Genomic DNA, 21,597 nt, shown 5'->3' on the forward strand with positions numbered 1-21,597 from the left:
CAAGGCCAGCCTGGGCAACAGACAGACCTCATCTCTACTAAAAATTAAAAATAAAAACTTAGCGGGGCATGATGGCACGTGTCTGTGGTCTCAGCTACTAGGGAGGCTGAGGCAGGAGGATCACTTGAGCCCAGGAGGTCAAGGCTGTCATCAGCTGTGATTGTACCACTGCACTCTAGTCTGGGCACAAAGCGAGACCCTGTCTCAAAAAAAAAAAAAAAAAAAAAAAAAAAGATACTGTAACAAGATCTCATTATGGGCAAGAACTCCCAGGATTTTGAGGTGTCTGACGTATCGGGTATTCTATCTTTATGAAGGATAAGTTTAGATTCAGGCAAAAAGCGCCAGGCAGAGGGGCAATTCTTCTCCTGAACTTTTACTCACTAGCCTCCCGTGGCCATTTAGCTATTTTAAATTGGCAGGGTTTGGTCTATACTATCAATTTTGACTGATAAACGCTGGTGCTGCTGAAGAAGAAAACTGCCTCTAGAGAAGACATGACCCCCAGAGATCACAGCAGGCTGCTGCCACCTTGTGGTAGTTTGCTGCAAATGCGGGAGCAGCAAACCCTGCACGATTGCTCTCAAGGAAAACAATTCAATGTTATGTATAAAAAACACACTATGACTATTAAGACCATGTGTACGAAATGGCTAAGTTTATTCAACATCTCGGATATTCATCTGGATATTGGGTTTGTTTTGTGATACAATACATATTCACCTTAACTGGTGCTACTGCAAAGAAAGCTTTCTTGACCTGCATGACGTGCCTCAGAGCTTCTCTCCACCAATTGGAACCACCCAAAGCCTAGTCTAGACCAAAGTGCTCTGGAGAAAAAAAACAAAACAAAAAAACAGCAAACAGAAAACAGTTGTGCCCCCAAAAGTACTCAGAAGTCATATGTTATTTACAATTGGGTTTGTGTGGGATGGGAAGTAGGGCGGATGAGCCAGTGCTTTTGCAATGAAGATGCAATAGTCATTGTCCTCTCCCACTGTCTCCTCTTTCCTCACCCCATGGCAGCTTTCATGACCCATTCCCAAAGGGTCCACCGAGTCCTGAACTCAGCTTCATCACCAACATTCCTCGCCTTCAGTTGAATTCAACACTGTTAAGGGAGTAGAGGCAAAGACTTGGGTCAGGGAGAGGGTGGGAAACACAGAACAAACTCTCTCGGCACAACCCAAGTTCAGAGACGAGGCCTCCTCAGATGAGGAAGATGATGCCCTCAGACACCATGACCTGATTGTCATCCTGCATCTTGCTCAGAGCAGCCTGGATCTCAACTGAAGAGAAGGGCTCTTCGCTGTCCCGGTTGATGGATTCTGTGAGGCGATTCATGCCGATTGACTGCGCATGAGCTTCCCGGAACACATCCAAGAGGGCCACCTTGAATGCCTTCAACCTGCCCCAGACAGAAGAAAGGGGGAAGAGGAGTAAACAAACCCAAATGCTCTCAGGAAACAGCTATACTAGGAAAATCCATAGTATTAATACAGTAGAGGCGTCCCCTCAATATTCTTTCTCACACACACATCTGCCTCTGATGGCAGTGCTACCCTTGAGGAGCCCCCTTTAAAGCTAAACTATTGTACTAGCGTGTGGGAAATTGGCATTCCCATTCACTGTAAAATAGTAACCCGGTCAGCGTCAATGCGGGACAATTTAACAGCACTTACTAAACCCTTAAAAGCGTATATCCTTTGGCCCAGGGAGCCCATTTCTAGGAACTCACCTTATAGCTATACTTGCATGAGTGCACACTGATAAATTTAATACTGTTTTACTGTAAACAGGGAACAACCCAAATGTCTATCATCAGAGAATTTCATTAAATTTTTACCCATCCATACCATGGAAACCCTGCAGTCATTAAAAAGAATGAGATCAAACAAGCACAGTGGCTTATGCCTGTAATCCCAGCCTTTTGGGAGGCTCAGGTAGAAGGACTGCTTGAGGCCAGGAGTCCAAGACCAGCCTGGGCAACATGGTGAGATCCCGTCTCTACAAAAAGTAAAAAATAAACACTGTAAAAAAGTAAAAAATAAACACTGCACTCCGGTCTCAAAAAAAAAAGTGAGATCTATACGAGCTGATTCAAGCATTTTAAGATACAGTTGATGGTTGTCCTTGAGGGATAGAGTTACAATTGATTTTAATTTTTTTTCTAAATACTTTTCAATGTGTTTCAAATTTTTTTCAGTAAATACACTGTATTATGTGTTTAAAGTATAAAAAGAAAAAACGTAAAACTTGGCTATGGAGTTTCTTGGTGTCCAGTAAACAAAATTCATAGATAAAAATGTTTCCTAAAACCCTGGTGGTAAAAATTCTTCATTTCAAAAACAAATGGCCAAAATGTATCTATCCCACCAAGAAGAATCTGAGGTTACAGTAAGACATTAAGTTTTATCCTTATTGTAAAACTCTTCTCTCTCAGAAAGAGAGAATTATTAATTTAAACAACTGAAGATTCTGGGTAAAGGACATCCAGAAGTTCTTCATGCTTTTCTCATAACTTTTCAGTAAGTTTGAAATTAAATGAGAATATAAAATGTTAAAAGCTGCAGGCCTCTAGTTTTGAGTTCTATTGATGACCAGCAGTTTGTTTCCCACCCTCTCCAAGGGAACAAAGTCCCTTCCTCAGCGATACACAGAATTCTTGAAGGGGCAGGAGCAACATCCGTACTCACCTGGATTCACTCAACTCCACTTTCTGGGATTCCTTGGTCTCCTGTGAGTCTGCCGTCTTTGGAGTGTGTACTTCAGAGGGTTGATGGTTGTAGAGATGGGGAAGATAAGCAAGGTGAAGCCATTTCCACAAACACTAGAGAAATCATCTCCACTCCCAATCTCTCACTCAGCCTGCTGAACACTCCTATTTCCTAGGGTTCTTATGGGGCCAGGCAGAACAATTAGGATATAGGGAAATCTTCATTGGATGATGAAGGAATTTAGTCAGGCAGGAGACCCTCAATGTATATATTATCTGAAATGCTTATACCAGGTGAAACAGCACAGCACAGTTCATCAAGGAGGTGTATATAATATAGCAAAGCTTTTTCCAAAGTTTCCCCTGAAGCTCTCTTGGGACAAACCTCTTGGACATAGGCCCCAAGCAGGGAGCCAAACAAACAGGAGTCCACAAGAAAATAAAGTGCACAGAGCAACTGGAAAAGTCCAAGAGTCACAGGAACAACCTCTTTCATCAGTAAGTGGGCTCACTCACCTTGAGGCATTTCCTCCTCTGTGTCACTGAAGTCATAGGGGTCGTATGAATCCCCATCTTTGGCATCTGGCTGGCGAGTCTTCCTTCTAAAATACCCACAGCAGTTAAGAGAGAGAAAGAGTTTGGAGACAGAAAGGCAAGGAAGCCCCATCACGTGCCTCTAACTACGGAGAAAAGGAAACAGAACCACTAAGTCAAAGTGAAGCACTAGGCTTAGGCCTTTGCAAACTGCTGCTTGTTCCAAACGAGACCAAGTCCCCAGACTAGAACACAAACAGGCGCTGCTTCCCAACGCTCTTTTCCACATCACTCACCCTTATAAATTCAACTATAAGCATGAAGGTTTTTCCCTTAGAATTTTGAAGTATATATTCAAAACCCTCAGTGGTTGGGTTGCTGTTCCTACTATTTAGCATTTCTTCAGTAGAGGGGTCAAAAGCACACAAGAAGGACTCGCTCTCCTTCTCTTTTACCCAGGGTATCTTCTTTTTTTTTTTTTTTTGAGACGGACGGAGTCTCACTCTGTCACCCAGGCTGGAGTGCAGTGGTGTGATCTCCACTCACTGCAAGCTCTGCCTCCTGGGTTCACGCCATTCTCCTGCCTCAGCCTCCCAAGTAGCTGGGACTACAGGTGCCTGCCACCACGCCAGCCTAATTTTTTGTATTTTTAGTAGAGACAGGGTTTCACTGTTAGCCAGGATGGTCTTGATCTCCTGACCTCGTGATCCGCCTGCCTCGGCCTCCCAAAGTGCTGGGATTACAGGCGTGAGCCACCGCGCCCAGCCTACCCAGGTTATCTTCATCCTCAAACCCCGCAGGTCTAGGAACACTCTCCATGAACAACCTGACATCAATAAGCAGCGCTGGTTCCACCTTCTACCCTCTACTTCTCTCCCCAGTCCCACTGGAACTTACTACTTTTTTTTTTTTTTTTTGAGATGGGATCTCTCTCTGTCGCCCAGGCTGGAGTGCAGTGGCACGATCCTGGTTCACTGCAACCTCTGCCTCCCAGGCTCAAGCAATCCTCCGACCCCAGCCTACCGAGCAGCTGGGACCACAAGTGTCCGCCACCACGCCCAGCTAATTTTTCTATTTTTTGTAGAGACAGTTTTGCCATATTTCCCAGGCTGGTCTCAAACTCCTGGACTCAAGTGACCCACCCGCCTCGGCCTCCCAAATTGCTAAGATTACAGGCGTGCACCCCCAACTTCTTGGCCACTAACTTTTTAATCTCATTTGCTTGCCCCACCTTACCTCTTCCTCTTCTGCTCCTGGTCCTCTTGGCTTTTCTCCTCTTCATCTTCTGTCTCTGATTCATCCTCACTTCGCTTCTTACGTTTCTTCTCCTTCTCCAGAACCTAAGACCAAGGCAAGTGTGGCTGGGCTAGAGGGGTCACTGATGCAGGGGAACTGCATCAAGAACTCCCAGTCCCTTCTGCATCATAAGCAGGAAAGACTTCCATGTTTCCAATGGTTTACCTAGCTCCTCTTGTCCCTAAGTCCCAGGACCAGGGGCAGAAGTAGAGACTGCTACCCATCTTTTCAAAATGCTGGGAAGTATGTTAAATGCTGTTTATATAGTAGGTACTCAATAAATGTTTACTGAATAAAGAAACAAATGTCTAGCCCATAATGGTTAAGTGAAAACAATCCATTTCCTTATAAATCAGGTGTCTAATTGAAATCCAAGACAACCCTTAACCTAGCAAAAAGCGAGGAAGAGTTTATCAGACTCACAACTCAACCCTTAACCTAGCAAAAAGCGAGGAAGAGTTTATCAGACTTACAACTCAACCCTTAACCTAGCAAAAAGTGAGGACGAGTTTATCAGACTCACAACTCAACCCTTAACCTAGCAAAAAGCAAGGAAGAGTTTATTAGACTCACAACTCAACCCCAAAAGGCTAACATTCACCAGACTGGGGTGGGAGTGGGCAACTAGGAAAAGGGAGTCTAGGCTTTGAGGCTTGATATCTAAAATGACAGAGGTGCAATGTCACAAACAGAAATAGGGAAACAGGATGAGTGGCAAGTTTGAGAGTTCAACTTTAAACATGAGCTTCTGAGGTGCCAATGGGACATTTGAAGAGACTACCAAGAGGAAAGGTAGAGTGGGACAAGGAAGATTACCAAGGTAGCTCTTTTGAAAACACCTACTTTTTTTTTTAAGATGCAAAGGAAGTAGGGGTAGACAGAGAAGCAGCTAACTGAAAGTACAGCACATCAACTAAACCAGAATCTCTAGGAGCCCTGGAATCAGCATTTTAAAGCTTTCCATCTGATTCTCTGGTGCAGTCAGGGTTGAGAATCACTGAGTGTTTCAGAGGAAAGAGTGAGGCAGACTGATGACTGGAAGACAAATACTGCTTTCTGTTGACAATCCAAATGTAGCCGTCAGCCACGGAAGGCTGGGAAGCCCATGCATCTGTAATATATCCAGGAGATCCTCTCATGCCCAGGCATCTGAATCCTCACCTTCTTAAAGTAAGCATACTGGACCAACTCCACAGCTTCCTCTGCATCCTGCAGGTCCACAGTCTTGCTCATGCGGGCCTTCGCATGGGCTGTGGCCAGTCGAATCAGAGTTTCCAGTGTTCGGGCTGTAACTGGAGATGTCTAGGGAAGAAAAGGGAGGATTGCTTATCCCAAGTCTTTTAGGCATGCCCATCAATCCTACTGCACAGAAAGGGAAATGACACTACCAGAAAAGCCCCAGGAGGCCCAAGCAAAGAATTCAGAGTTCTGTGTTCTCTACAGATACCATATAAAAATGAGAAAGATGATAGCAATGATCAAGGAAATATACACAAGAGTGTTGCAGGAAGGAGGAGCAAGTGAACAGGGAAGATTAGGCATCTAACAACTGGAAAGATAAAAAGCTACAGCGTAGAAAAGAGAAGGGAGAAAAATCATCAGTGATTGCAGGCCTGCAATGCAGCAGGAAGTTTGCCTTTATATACATTCTGTCATTTCACCCTCTTAATAACTTGGAGAAGTTTTATACATGAAGGAAATGGGACTCAAAGACCTTCAAGGAGATTTTCCAAAGTCACACTAAAGGAGGGATAGGAAAGAAGTAATCTGAGGACAAAAACGTAACTTCAGTAAACTCAGTCCGGAGAAGGAGAACTCTGACACATTCCTAACAAATGTTTCTCACAGGGGCCGATGAATACCAAACTGGGATGCCTTTATCTTTTAAAATGCTATTGTCTGAATGGCCTTTCTTGACCTAATCAATCAGAATGAATTGGAAATGAATGAATCAGAAATCTCAGTGTTTAGGACTAGATATGTGTACAAGTTTCAGGTGATTCTGATGTATCCAATCCTCTCATTTTATGGATAAGAAAGCTGACCTGACAGGTGAAAGGATTTGTCCACAGTCCAAAAGCTAGCTGCAGAGCTGGGATCAGACATGAAACTACTTCCAGCCCGGACGTGGTGGCTCACATCTGTAATCCTAGCACTTTGGGAGGCCAAGGCAGGCGGATCACAAGGTCAGGAGCTTGAGACCACCCTGACCAACATGGTGAAACCCCATCTCTATTAAAAATACAAAAGAAAAATTAGCCCGGTGTGGTGGCGCATGCCTGTAATCCCAGCTACTCAGGAGGCTGAGGCAGGAGAATAGCTTGAACCCGGGAGGCAGAGGTTGCAGTGAGCCAAGATCATGCCACTGCACTCCAGCCTGGGCAACAGAGCGAGATTCCATCTCAAAAAAAAAAAAAAAAAGAAAAAAAAAGAAACTACTTCCTTCTGTCACACCTCCCGGGTCTCCCATTATATGACCCCATCACTGACGTATCCTGGTCACTTCTTGTTTCAAGTTTCCTAAATTACCATGTATATCCACAATGACATTCAAAAATAAATACATTCACATTTAAATTCATTCATCAAATCTTGTAATAATTTAGAAAGCTACCGGAGTTTGGAAGTCATACACTCCATGACAAGTTCTAATTCTTAAACCACCTAAAAAGCTGGTGAAATCCTGGCCTGCACTAGCAGACCTAGAGAATCCAAATTCTCTTGGAATTCACTTACAGACCCCACACTAAGACAATTAAAATAGTGTATGACGCTCAGTTCTAGGTTCAATGAGAGGGCCTGGGACACACCAGAAGTTCGCATGTGGAAAGGAACAGTTAAAAAGAAAGTAAGCTGTTTAATGAGGAAGACAGGCGATACACAACCTCCAGAAAACAAGACTAACACCCACAGGTAAAAGTTGTGGGAAAATAGGTTTAAGCTTAATAAATATTCTAAAATTTCAAAACAGTGATGCTCTGCGCATGCTGTCACTGGGGGTATTAAGAAGTCCCGGCCGGGCTCATGCCTATAATCCCAGCACTTTGGAAGGCCGAGATGGGCGGATCACGAGGTCAGGAGATTGAGACCAGCCTGGTCAACACAGTGAAACCCCGTCTCTACTAAAAATACAAAATTAGCCGGGCATGGTGGCACGCACCTGTAGTCCCACCTACCCGGGAGGCGGAGGTTGCAGTGAGCCCAGACCATGCCACTGCACTCCAGCCTGGGTAACACAGCAAGACCGCATCTCAAAAAAAAAGTCCCAGCAGGGATTTGAAAAGACAGAGTGGGTGAGGCTTGAGTAGATGATCTGGGATCATGTCTAATCCAAGAATCTATGTCTATGTAACATAATAAGAGTTCTGGACTTGGGTCTTTCTGCTGTAAAATCCTATGTGAACTACACTGCCCCTAAAAGATTTAGACAAATTTGGGCCGGGCATGGTGGCTCACACCTGTAATCCCAGCACTTTGGGAGGCCAAGCCGGGCGGATCACCTGAGGTAGGAAGTTCCAGAGCAGCCTGACCAACATGGAGAAACCTGGTCTCTATTAAAAACACAAAATTAGCCGGGTGTAGTGGTGCATGCCTGTAATCCCAGCTACTCAGGAGGCTGAGGCAGAACAATCGCTTGAACCAGGGAGGTGGAGATTGCAGTGAGTTGAGATCGCGCCATTGCACTCCAGCCTAGCCAACAAGAGTGAAACTCTGTCTCACCAAAACAAAAACAAAAACAAAACAAAAAAAAGATTTAGACAAATTCATGGACACCTATATTAGGTTACCAGAAATTGCTTTGAATAACCATCATGGTTGCCTGTTAGTCATTTTTTCAAAGTCCAGTCCAAATATCATACTCTCTGGGAATCCTTCCTTGACATTCATACCCCTTCAGGGAAGTCTAAAAGAAATTAACAGTTTATTCGTCTATGCTCAAATAGCCTTTCACGTTCATTCCTTTGTAAGTACCACACTGGGGTAAATATTTATAAATATGTACGGAAGTCTTTCTATCTACCTTTGTGCTTCCCCCGCTCCGGATCTGAGCTCTTTGAAAAGAGTGTTTATTAATTTTACATTGCTTGTAAGAGGAAAGACTAGGTCACTTCCCAGAAGTCACTCCTATGTTTGCTGAATGAATCACAGCTTCTGGAGGCCAATGTCATTTTAACTAATAAGAGACATGTTATCTCTGGGGTCCTTATTTCATTTTCCTTTATAAAAGGAAATGATTAAAATTGTATAACAGGAAGCCCTTCAGACCAGGAAAAAAGTCACTAAGTTAAAATGCTTTCAAAGCTCCCAGATAGCAGGGACTCCTGCCCAGCCATATACCTAAGGGACCCCAAGCCTAGGCTCCCCCAGGCACTCACCCTGGCGGTGTCTGAGCTCATGCTATCCTGGCTGCGCAGGCGTGAATACTCTTCTGCAATGTAGGTGGCCGACTCCTGTGTCAGGACAGGCTTGATGATTTTGGCCACATGGATGTACTTCTTCATGAATGCTGCACTCACCATCTTCTCCCTGGAGCCACACACAGTGAATTCCATCTCCCTGCCACACCTTACCACCTGCCTGGATTAGTGGCTTTGCCTCTCAGAAAAGCCAGGGTCAAAACAAAGCCTAGAACCCATTATCATAACTCCCATTTATATGGAACATAGACAAGACTCTTTCACATATTTTTATTTAATTATTACAGGTATTATTTGTAAGTTAGGTAGTTTAGGCAGAAAGTTTAGGTATTATTTGCTCTATTTTGTAGGTGGGAAAACTACAGCTCAGAGAAGCTCAAGTTGACTAAAAGTTTTCTGACTCCAAATTCTACATTCTTAAACCAACAGCTTTGAAGATTATGCTATGCTTCTTACTGCATCATGGCCAAAAATAGGTGTAAGATCCCACATTTCATGCTTTGAGCACCTGATCACACGTCTCCTTCACCAAGTCTACCTACAAAGTCTCAAATGTTTGCTATCTGCTGACCCTTCATCACAAATGGCTACATGACACTTGCCATCTTTCATATATAAGGCACACCCACCATCAGGCGTATCATCAAAACTCTATTTTAAGAAAAGACCTGAACCTGCGCTGAATCACCTAAACATTTACAAGGCAACTGGCCAGGATAAAGGATATATTGTGGACCCAGAAAAGAAGAAAATTAATCCACGTGGTTATGACTCCAGGCATGGCTTTGACCTGGGCATATAAGGCCTTAGCTAAGCTTAGATATACACATGCTCTAATATAACACATATTTCAGGTTCCCTTGAGGAAGAGTTATGAGAATGCTCACTTTTTCTTCTTGGTCCCATGTAGAAGGTTGTCATGCTTCTCATAAATCTGGGTGTCCTGCTGATCTTCCTGGCTAAAGTTGGGATCATCTGTGGCCAGGATATCCACAGCACTACCCAAGGGCATAGCTGGTATACCCAAGTTAGGAGAAAGGAGAGTAATAAAGAGTTTAACCCAGGGGAAATTGCTTCTTCTATAGCACAAGAAGGGGAGACACCAAGATTCATAAAGAAAGGGCCCAAAAAGAATCAGACACATGGAACCCACAAATAAAGATAGTGGAACTGCCTGGCTCACACAAGATGCTCAGTTATTCCCAGACCCAGAAATGGACAAAAGACACACCTTAGGATACCCTCCACTAAGCAAGAAGGGGAGGTGGCTAAACAGTTGAGGGCTCTTCAACATCAACCCGGACACTGAAACACCTACCACCACCTGGGTTGGGCCTGAGAAACTACCATCTGTTTAGCGCCTTTCCATTAGTTACTCTTACTATTCTTATGGCCTCACCATCGCCATCCTGCTCCCCAGGTGCTCTGTAACGGTGCATCCGAAGGACATGGTCTGAGATCTCCCGATCCTGCTCAGGATCCATCTGATCCAGCATGATGAAGAGCAAGTCAAATCGTGACAGCAGTGAGTCCTGTAGCCCAATGTTCTCCATTGGAGTCTTATACTGGTCATACTGGGGAATGCGAGGACAACAGAAGTGGACATGACATCAATAGGAAGAAAGAACAACAAGGCTGCTGCAGTTCTGGGAGTGGGAATGAAAGGCTTGACCTCAAAGAGCAAAACAGACAAAAAGCAGTGAAAAAGGGAAGTGTTTTAAAGCCATTAAACAATGTAAATCATCTCTTCTACCTGCAACCCTTCTTTAACTGAGCTTCCTAGGAAGCCCCACTTTCTACTACAGGAACCTCTAACAGGCTGAGTGTAGGTCTGAAAACCAGGCCCCTGCTTCCCAAACCTTATTCTGCTCTTCTCATTCCCAAGGCAGGACCTGACTCTGAAAGATGATCCCTTTCCCCTACCTGTCATAAAGACAGGGCAAGTTGGTTAGGCTACAAGCACTTAGAACTTTTTGGAGTCCCTTACTCAGAAGATACAAGTAAAACCTCAACTAAAATGGTCAATGATCTATATATCATAACATCTTAGAAACTGGCCAGGCACATCCACTCACACCTGTAATCCCAGCACTTTGGGAGTCTGAGGCAGGTGGACTGCTTGAGCCCAGGAGTTCGAGACCAGCCTGGGCAACATGCAAAACCCTGTCCCTATAAAAACTTAAAAAGAAAAAAAAATTTGCCAGGCATGGTGGTACGCATCTGTAGTCCAAGCTACTCAAGTGGCTGAGGTGGGAGGATCACCTGAGCCCAGGGAGGTCGAGGCTGCAGTGAGCCAGGATCACTCCACTGTACTCCAGCTTGGGTGGCAGGGTAAGACTATGTCTCAGAAAAAAAAAAAAAAAATCAAGGGAGTTTTTCCTTGGGATTCAAAAACCCCAATACTCTCCTTTCAATTCTGGGCCTACTGGACTGATACTTACCCATCCACATACACTTCACAGTCAGAGAACATAACAACCTTTAGGTAATAATGATTTTGACCATGTTCACGTTTCAGGTCCTGCCATTTTTCTTGTATTTCCCAATCACTCTTGAGAATGACATAAACATACATTATCATTTATTTTATTTTATTTTACTTTTAAAGATGAGGTCTCACTATATTGCCTAGGTTGGTCTCAAACTCCTAGGCTCAAGTGATCCTCCCACCTCAGCCTCCCAAAGTGCTAGGATTACAGGCATGAGACACTGCGCCCAGCCCTATCATTAATTTTAAAAGCTATGGTTTTCAACCTTGGCTACACATTAAAACCAAACCTGTGGAGCCCTTCTAAACCATAGCTACCAAGAGCTCCAACTCAAGAGATTTTAATTCAGAAACTCTGAACGGGGGACCATGCAACTGTATGTATAAAAAACACCATCGCATCGCAACAAGGTGTTCCCATACACTGTGGGATTGATTATAAACTGCCAGGACACAGCATGAGCTCTGGGCTCAAATCCTGGCTCTGCGATTTTCAAGTTTGTGGCTCTTGAGCAAGTTACATAATCTTTTGTACCTCCATTTTCTCATCTGTAAAATAAAGATAACTACACATTGTGAGGTAGTTACTGATAGGATAAAAGGAGTTGGTAAATACAAAGCATTTATGAGCATTCATTAATAGAAGTATTAATATGGTACAATCTTTAAAGAGGGTAATTTTGCAATCTCTACCAAAAGAAAAATGCACATAACTCTTAATCCAGTAATTTCCTTGCTAGGTATTTATACTACAGATATATTCCCAAATCTATCCACACACATAAAGGGATGGCCACTACAGCTTCATTCAAAATAGGGAGGAAAAAATGGAAACCACTAAATACCCATCAGATGGAGACTAGTTAAATACATCCCTGTGACGGAATACTAGAAATCTATTTTTTTAAAAGGAAAAACTCAACAAACCCCACGCACAGACAAATATAAAAGATTATATCTAGCACATCACAGTCATGGTAAAAACAGAGATAATTCTTAACAAGGAAATAGTGTATTTGCTGGTACATGCTTAAAGTTTTGTTTCCTGCAACACTTCAAAGCTGTTATTTCTTGGCAAAGTGACAGGAGAGAGAAGCAAGTCTTTTCGTTTTCATACTATATACCTGTTCTGTTTAGAAATTCTCCCGCCACATGCATGTAGTCCTTTTATTTAATGGACGGTTAAATATGTTAAATGGACTGTTTAACTGTACTGTTAAAAAGTTACTTTTAAATAAGGAACTTTCCAGGGGATTCTGCTGTGCAGGAATGGGTGAGGAACACTGCTCTAAACAAAGGACAATAACAAGAAAATGGCCTTACTTTTAGTCTTTGGCCTATTATTCCCCTGGGTCACCTAGAATACACTTCTCAGCCCAGTTAGTCAGCAAAACCAAATGAAGGTGAGGACAATGGTTGGGGCCTGATTCCACTTACCCTGCCGTAGACAGGGTTGGCAGCTGCCAAAACACTGCAGCGGGCATTCAGCCGAGCATGGATGCCAGCCTTGGCAATGGTCACTCGACCCTGCTCCATCACTTCATGGATGGCTGTGCGATCCATGTCAGACATTTTGTCAAATTCATCAATGCAAACCACGCCTCGGTCAGCCAGGACCATGGCCCCTGCTTCCAGACGGCGCTCTCCTGGGAAGTGAGAAGGTAAAAATACGTGCTACAGTCTAGGTTATAGGGGCCAGAAGGGAAGGATTTCAATCTCCTTCCTAGGAATCTCTCACTTTGCACGTGAGAATGCGGCAATGGTGTGTTGGCTCCGAGAAACTTAGAGGAAACCCTGGTGGGTCACCTTTTCAGCTCTAATCTAAATATTAATAGTATCTCTTTGTCCCACTTTGACCCCTAAGTAACTAGCTTCTCACAAATTTCCTTCATAGATTCTCTCTTCGGCCTCAACCTCAAGTAATACCCCAACTAGACCTCTGCCTTCTCTTCACTGGTCTCCAAATCCCTTCCTCTAGTTCATAAAATAGTACAATCTTCATTTTTATTTCCTTTCTAATGTGCTAAGACTTAATCCTTTAAATCGAAAACATTCCTGTAAATAGATGAACACCAAAGACTTAAATAATTCACCCACCATTGCTGAATACTCAGTCCTCTATAATCTGGACCCAACTAACCTATCAGCTGTATCTTCAGAACACAAGCCAGGGCACACAAAGGATCTATGCTCAGGCTCTCTGCTGGGCCTTTGCCAAGGACCCTTACACCCTTACCTGTTTCCTGGTCTGTGGTGACAGCAGCCGTCAGACCCACTCCAGAGGAGCCCCGGCCAGTGGTGGGGATAGCTCGGGGTGCAGTGCAAAGCACATACCGCAGAAGCTGAGACTTGGCAACGGATGGGTCTCCTGTAGGGTGGGGGCAGTGATGACTCTCTAGGAAACTCCCCAGCACCCCCAGCAAATTCTGCCTTTCTAGCACAGCTCTTGACACAACAGAGTCACACAGTAAGTGGATTTTAATATTTTTCCTTCGCTTTTCCCTTCACCACTCACGGAAGAATATTTATATACTATAAATCAGGAATTCCAGAGATGACAAAAAAAAAAAAGATTCATTTTAGCCTTTTGTCCTTTGATAGGACTGAAATACTGCTAAGTACAGAATATACAATCTTACATATTATAGGTCTCCACAACCACTCCATCAGAACAACAGTCTAAAGCAAATCCCCAACATCGTACCTATTAGAAGAATATTGATGTCCCCACGGATGTGGCTGCCATTTTCTAGGTCTCGTTCCACCCCTCCCAAGAGCAAGCAGAGGATTGCTTTCTTGACATAGTCATGCCCATGGATACTTGGGGCCAATGACTTGGCCAGCTGGTCAAAGATATCCTACAGGAGAAATAACCAATGGCAAGCCTAGTGAGATTCAATGGGACTTTGTGGAGCTCCACTTTATATACTTTGGCCTATAGAAAATACTTGAAGAGGGCCAGGCGCAGTGGCTCAGGTCTGTAATCCTAGCACTTTGGGAGGCCGAGGCAGGCAGATCACGAGGTCAGGAGTTCGAGACCAGCCTGGCCAACATGGTGAAACCCCATCTCTACTAAAAATACAAAAAATTAGCCAGGCGTGGTGGTGTGCGCCTGTAATCCCAGCTACTTGGGAGGCTGAGGCAGGAGAATCACTTAAACCCAAGAGGCGGAGGTTGCAGTGAGCAGAGATCGCACCATTGCACTCCAGCCTCGGTCACAGAGCAAGATTCCGTCTCACCAAAAAAAAAAAAAAAAAAAAAAAAAAAGAAAATACTTGAAGAAACACACAAACAGGTACATTGTTCCTAACTGCAAAAAATTATTTTCTAAGACAAATTACACTATCAGGCCATTATCAGAGTAGGCACAGAGCAGCCTGGATTCCAAAACTTGTTTAGAGGTTTAATCTTTAAGGGAAAAAAGTATCCCCAGGTTCAAAACATTTTAGGTTTAATAAGAACATGTACTGTGCTTGAACAGTAACCTTTATCATCACACATTCATATATGTAGTTCAATTCTAAATGTGGATATACATCCTATCTTAAAAAGATAAAAACAAGTTGGAGAACTAAAACAAAGAAAAAATGTTTAAGTAGTAATGCATCACTAACGCCTTCAGTAATAAATAGACTTACTGGTACACGGGCAAGTTAACACCTATCCTAATATTTGTACTAGGCTCATTTAGCAGCCCAGCAGGTAGCAGGTATTAAAATTGTTTAATAACAACAGAATTACTAAAGAACAAACAGCAAAAACACCCTTCATTTGTTGATTGAGACAAAAATAGAAAAAGCTAACACCAAACCTCAACCCTTCCTTCTGATCTAGTACAAAAATAGCCATGCACCAAAACACAACTCTTAGAAATCCATTCCCACCCTCAAATTTCTAAAGGATGCCCAGACCTTGGATCGGGTTTTACTGAACTTCTTGATCTTGGCTATATCCTCAGCAGAGAAAGAGGGCTGAGCATCCTTGCTCATCTGCTTAACATTACAGGCAATCAGGACAGTCCTGGGACAAACAGAATAAAGAGGAAACCCGTTATATTCAATTCCTAACATCAGTAGCTAGTACCCCTAGCAGGAGTAAGCCTTTTTAGGCTGCCAAACTAGACCAGCCAATTAGAGTTGGTGGGGAGGGGGCAGGTAGCTATTGTGAATTAAACAACTGGTTCTGTCTGTGATCCAAATATGCTGATCATGCCCCACCTCTGGAATTGACCCACAGAACTTCAGACAGAACTGTGTATGGGGACGAAGTGTAATTAAATGAGAAACTCCCAGGAAAGCCATGAGGCTGTAATCATTGTCACCAATAACTCTCATTTTTGGCATATGATGGTTAAGTATCACCAGCTTTATCTGATAGAAAAGAGGTATTGAAGGTATCCTGTCTCCCAGGCAGGTAGAGTGCTCCACCTATCAGATATAACTCTCTGGAATATGGCAAACTGGAGAAAGGATATTACCAGAAATGGAAGCTGTCAACAGCATTCCATATACTTTAAGGCAGACCCTTTACCTGAAGGTCCCAGAGGTGTAGCCTCCCTTCTTTCCAGGAAGGCAACGGTAGGTTCCCACCACCTGAACCCGGTCACCAGGCTTCGCTTTATCCACCAAGTCATCATCCAGAATGACGTCCACAGAGCGGGGGAGCTGGCCGGCTGGGGCCTTCTCCGGCATCTCCTGGATGGTGATGGTCTGGTGATCCTTGTAGACAGAAAGGCCATATTCTGTCTCAAGGGGATTGTTCTCCTCATCCTAGAAAAAGGCACACAGAGGGACAGAGTGATCTCCGTCCTGTCTTAAAAATGCCACACTCACCTGTCATGGCAAATAAGATGACTTCATAAAATTTTATTATTCAGTAACAAAAAAAGCCAAGTACCTTCTCTAGCTTTTTGTGTTCCTGTCTGTTTTAGTAACAACCATCGAATGGAAGGGGCAACCCATAGTCTGAATGGACTATGGTTATATTAACATCTAAATTAAGATTCTTACTTCCCCTCTAAAGCTGAATATATGCTTACATTCTGAAGCAGTTTTTCCACTCCTAGGTAATACCCAACAGAAACATTCACCCAAAGCCATGCATTGTAATGCTCATAGCAACATTATGCCTAGTAGTCAAAAATTTTAAAGTGTAAAAATGCCATCAATAGTGTAATGGTTAAACACGGTATATTCACATAAATGAATACTATACAGCAATAAAAATGTATGAAACACACCTATACACAACATGGATAAATCTCATAAACACAATGTTGAGCATAAAAAGCCCATAAGTATTTAAATAAAAAACAGCTGAAAGTAATCCATACTGTTAGACATCAGGATAGTGGTTACCCCTAGGTAACATGAGCCCTCAAGAGGGACTTCTGTGTGCTAATATTTCCTCATTTGGAGCTGGTTACACAGGTGTACTCAGCTTGTAAAAATTCATCAAGCTATACACTTATGTGAGCTTTCCTGTACGTATATTAAAGTTTTACTTCCTTCACATTTGAATTTTCTAAAAACACAGTTGTCACTTATTGAGTGTTTGCTATGTGCCAGGCACTGTGCTATTACTTCACAAAATTATCTCATGTAATTATCACAACAACTTTGTAAAGAAGGTATTTTCACACGTCATGCACAAGGAAACCAGGAGACTAGGAGAGATTAAGTAAGTTCCCCCAGGTCACACAGTTAAGTAGCAGAGTCTTGACTTGATACAGGTGTTAACTCCAAAGCCCACGCTCTTAAGCATCACCATAGACAACCTCCAGAAGATCTGGTCCAATGTATTTCACTTTTCAAGTAAAGAAGCTTGGCCACAGTAATCAACAGAAGAGTACTTCCCAAGTACTTCCTGAAGAGGAAATTCTAAAAAAGTGGAGATCTTAAGGTCCGAAGAAGACAACAGAATGACTTAGAAAATACAACTGGCATGAATTAAAGAGACACAGGTCCTAGTCCTTAAGGCCATCACTAACTGGGACCGTAAGCAAATTGTTTAACTTCTCTGATCTCAGCATTTCATCTGGAGGTAGACTAAATGATGCTAAAGTATGTTTAAGTTATAATTCTAAGATATTCATTCGTTTTTGTTTATGTTTCATTTCTCCACCACTGTGAAGACTAATGACGAGGACTGGGTCTTATTTATATCCTTGTCCTCCATAGCGCCTAATAGTGCTTTGAATACAGTAGTTCTCAATTAAAATTTGATGAGGGGAGGAGAGGAATTGTTTGATAGAATCAGTTCAGACATCAAGTAATCCATATAAATGATCTTTTGTCTCCAGAGGAAAACCTTGCATTGTCCTCAATCCAGATCAATCTGAACACCAAGAAGAAAGCATTTTCCTATGCCAACCTGCTCCCAAACCCGCAACAAAATATTTGTAAAGATTACATAACAGTCTAGCATTATTTTTCTACTTTTTAAAAAGCAGATTCTAAAATTATAACGTTGTTAAAACATCTATGTAGATGACTTCTTCTTTTGACTATTCCTTAATTTTCTAAAATGAACAAGTGTTTTCTTAAAAAAATAATAAGAGTTGTGGCTGGGCATGGTGGTTCATGTCTGTAATCTCAATACTTTGGAAGATGGAAGCAGGAGGATCACTTGAGGCCACGACTTCCAGTCCAGCCTGGGCAACATAGCGAGACCCTGTCTCTAGAAAAAAGTGAAAAAAAAAATTAGCGGACCTGGTGGTGCATGCCTATAATCCCAGGTACTCAGGAGGCTAAGGTGAGAAGATTCGTTGAGTCCAGGAGTTTCAGGCTGCAGTGTTCTATAATGGCACCACTGCACTCCAGCCTGAGAGAGACAGATCCCGTCTCTAAAAAAAAAAATAAGAATTGTGAAGCCAGGTGGCGTAGCACATGCCTGCAATCCCAACTACTTGGGAGGATCACTTGAGCCCCGGAGTTTGCAAATTTAGTGCACCATGACTGCACCTGCAAATACCCACTGCACTCCAACTTAGGCAACATAGGAGAACCTCATCTTTAAAAATAAATAAATAAATAAATAAGAATTGTGGGCTTTTCATATTAAACTCTGGCCTGCAATCAATCTTTCCTTTGGATTAATCCTTATTTTTCACCCTTTACAGAAAAAAGACTTCAGATATTACACAATTCCTTGCCTTAAAACAGGTATCTTTGATTCCAACCTCCAAGACAGCTCAACTGATTTATCCCCCTTACCTTGGTAGGATAGACAGAGCTGGAGGGAAAGGCCACCAGGGTGGTGAGATCAGAATAACGTCGCTCTATGGTCTTCTTAGTAGCAGGACAGTAGTGGACACTGCGGACGACTTTGGGACGAACTAGAGAACCTAGGGATGGAAAATGTGCATATATAAACTCACCCAACTAGACGATGATACAGGTGGAACCCAAACATATGCAAGCCTATAATGACTCCAAATACTGTGTTTTTTTGACTAGGTTACGATATTTCAATATTACCTTTTATTCACTTTTTTATTTATATATAGACCACCACCATATCCATGTAAAATTTTAAGTACCACCAATCCCAACTAATAAATAGGTGGAGTTAGAGGTTGGAATTAGAGATTGCCAGGAACCAAGACTCCTCCAGCTCTCAGCAGAATTCATCATTCTACTAATACATGTGATTACTCAAGGTCCCCCAATCATTGTACACACTGAGCCCTCCAAGTTTTACCACGTAATTCCAATGCTCCACCTCTTTGAAGCCACAAGCTACCCAGATCTACTTTGCCTCTCCTGCTTTCCCCATCTCCCTGTCTATTCATTTCCTAAGCGGCCCCCTTTAACCCACTTACATTTAGTGACAATGCCCTCCACACAGACCACACAGCTGAGGAAGCAGGAGGTAAGAGTCCGCGGGGAGACGTGCTTGGAGCCAAAGCTGCCTTCCAGTCCTACGTAGAACTCCTCATACTGCTTGGCATAGGTAGCATCAATGGAGGCCACAAAATCCTTTAAGGCCCGCTGGAAGGCAACCAGCTCCTCAAAGGCATTGTTCAGAAGCCTGTACATAAGCAAGAGAAAGAAAAATTAGACTGGGCAGAACTCAAAAAAATGGATCCTCAAAACAGCAGACATTCTTAGATCATTAAAAACAATGAGAAAATCCAGCTTCTGCTTTCTCCTATAAGTCTCAGTAAAACACCATCCTATAAGACTCAGTAAAATACCAGAACTAAGGACCAACTTCACCTCAACTTATCAAAGATATAAAAATGATATTCAGCTAAACATTGGAAGGAGGGGCATTTGGGAGGAAAATGCCAACCACCCACTTTTTGAAAAAAAAAAAAAAAAAAATAGGTGCAGGTGAGCTACGAGGGCTTGTAGATCAATCCTGTTTCATACAAGTCCTCTCCTGAGAGGCTGTTCCAATCTGGCCAAGAGGGAAGGGAGCCATTCTCACTGACAGCCAGTATATCCCCTTGCCTCTCACCGGTTAGCCCTCTTCTCGTTTTTCCTGCGCAGGTCATTCACATTGACAATCAGCCGGTATTGGTTGTCACTGATCAGCTCCCGAACTTTGCTCTGATAAATTCCCTGGTCTTCCTGCAAAACAGCCACCACATATCACCATAGCCACAAATTTAAAAACAATGTTTCTAAACAGAAGTAGTTCTCATAGCCAGATAGCTAAGTCAATCTCTGCAGCAGAGCTGAATCCCCAGTAAGTATGTGCTCATCAATTTCTCCCTTTCATTCACTGTTTTTAGATTCGAAATAACACCCTAAGAGGGGACTATAAGAATTATAATGACTTCCTCAAGGTCCATGCTGTTATTCCCATCATCATGGACAACTTTTCTGCATGCTGTAATTTCTGTCTTTAGTGGAGAATTAAAATGAGCTCATGAGAAGTCTAAATGGACAGTAAGTGCAAACTTTGTTAAAATGTTAAGTTAAACCTAGCAATGTGAATGTTAAAGGTAACAACGTGAATAGATGGATATGTTGTTTCACTGTAGTAATCATTTCACCATGTATATCAAAACATGTGCACTTCAAATATATACAATAAAAATGTAAATAAAACAGACTCTTAATAGTCACATTAAAATGGCTTTTCATTTAAGAATTATGTAAAAAGTAATATTTTTTCCAATCATCTCTATAATACGGAAAGGGTTCTCATACCCCGACCTAAAGGAATAGAGAATCTCAGCTATTTGGTCACATCATCAACCCTTCAAGATGGTTTTTTCAACATTCTATGGCTTTAAGTCTTGGGTTGCACATAAAATCCCCTTGGCCTGCACACAAAACACTTTTTATCTGCATCTTAGTTGGTATTGAAAAAGAATGCAGCCGAATTATGGAGTCTTTTCCTCCAGGTAAAACGTCAGTCCCTAAAATCTGAGCACTCTGCAACGCGGCTGGTCACTATAGCCCTAGGGCAGCCCCTCCCCCACAGTCTCCTCAAATCAAGAGAGAGCAGTGAAATGCAAAAGGCCGAGGTGGGCTTTGCCAATCTGCTTGCACTTAATGGGAACCTGTCGCCTTTTGCGCGCCCGGACCATCGCTTGTACTTAAGAGAAAGCTGGCTTCCTAAGAGTTCACTTATCGAACACAAACTAGCGAGTCCGGCGTTGAGAAGTTACAAGATTGGGGCTGGAGGCTCGGGCCCGGCAGGCTCCGCTGCGGCACACGGTCTGGAGGTCTGGCGGGCCTCTGGCTTCCCGGCCGGGCCGCGTCCGCAGGGGCTCCGAGCGCTAGAGCCCGCGCGCCGGCGCCTCCCTCACCTCGTCGTCCAGGAAGTCCAGGTAATCTCTCTGAGCCTCCCGCAGCTCCACATCGTCCAGCACCACGGTACCCGCCATGCCCGCTGCCAAAGAACTACCTCCACCAAAGTCGCGTGGAGGTTCCCAGGATGACTCCACCCCGGCGCGAAAACTTCCGAACTCTTCCCGCCACCAAAGGTTACCTCGAGGAAGAGGCGGGGACCTTGGGAGCATATAAGCATTATGATTGGCTGAGTTCTCTGAGGTCGGACTAGCGACTGTCCAATCAAAAGCTTCTTCTTCTTCGGGTTTTCCGCTGCGCGCCCCGCGGTGGCGGGAAACGTACCATCCGGGATTCTCTGTTCCTCCCCTCCCTCCGCCTCACTCACTGACGAGCAAA

The 21,597-nt window shown here is 43.3% G+C and overlaps 1 protein-coding gene across 13 annotated transcripts, besides 2 other annotated features; it reads right to left on the reverse strand.

The window, feature by feature from the left end:
- Positions 1-636: 636 nt before the first annotated feature.
- On the reverse strand, positions 637-21,364 carry MCM3 (minichromosome maintenance complex component 3). Of its 13 annotated transcripts, none has more exons than NR_158966.2 (18): positions 21,219-21,364; positions 19,916-20,028; positions 19,275-19,483; positions 18,667-18,797; positions 15,983-16,221; positions 15,364-15,472; positions 14,157-14,310; positions 13,689-13,820; positions 12,890-13,098; positions 10,364-10,538; positions 9,852-9,978; positions 8,923-9,073; positions 5,708-5,848; positions 4,487-4,590; positions 3,233-3,318; positions 2,697-2,766; positions 1,017-1,408; positions 637-830 (listed from the first exon to the last, which is right to left on the reverse strand). NR_158966.2 is itself a non-coding variant. In NM_001366371.2 (18 exons), the coding sequence occupies exons 1-18, from the start codon at positions 21,294-21,296 to the stop codon at positions 1,286-1,288; spliced, it is 2,451 nt and encodes an 816-aa protein (NP_001353300.1). In that variant the 5' UTR covers positions 21,297-21,364; the 3' UTR covers positions 637-1,285. The 13 variants fall into 13 exon arrangements, 9 of the variants coding, with proteins under 9 accessions (NP_001353300.1, NP_001353298.1, NP_001353302.1 ...); NR_158964.2 differs by adding an exon at positions 1,857-2,030 and having other exon boundaries at positions 637-1,408; NR_158965.2 differs by having other exon boundaries at positions 4,487-4,628.
- Positions 992-1,411: a silencer, noted in NCBI's record as "fragment chr6:52129168-52129587 (GRCh37/hg19 assembly coordinates)". NCBI's record gives its function as "represses an EF-1alpha promoter that drives an FKBP-Casp9 reporter gene in an ReSE screen in HepG2 liver carcinoma cells {active_cell/tissue: HepG2}" and the evidence as "EXISTENCE:reporter gene assay evidence [ECO:0000049][PMID:32094911]".
- Positions 21,242-21,321: an enhancer, noted in NCBI's record as "active region_24670". NCBI's record gives its function as "activates an Ori minimal core promoter by ATAC-STARR-seq in GM12878 lymphoblastoid cells {active_cell/tissue: GM12878}" and the evidence as "EXISTENCE:reporter gene assay evidence [ECO:0000049][PMID:35858748]".

The sequence above is a fragment of the Homo sapiens genome, chromosome 6 (genome assembly GCF_000001405.40).
Source record: "Homo sapiens chromosome 6, GRCh38.p14 Primary Assembly".
Classification (NCBI taxonomy): domain Eukaryota; kingdom Metazoa; phylum Chordata; class Mammalia; order Primates; family Hominidae; genus Homo; species Homo sapiens.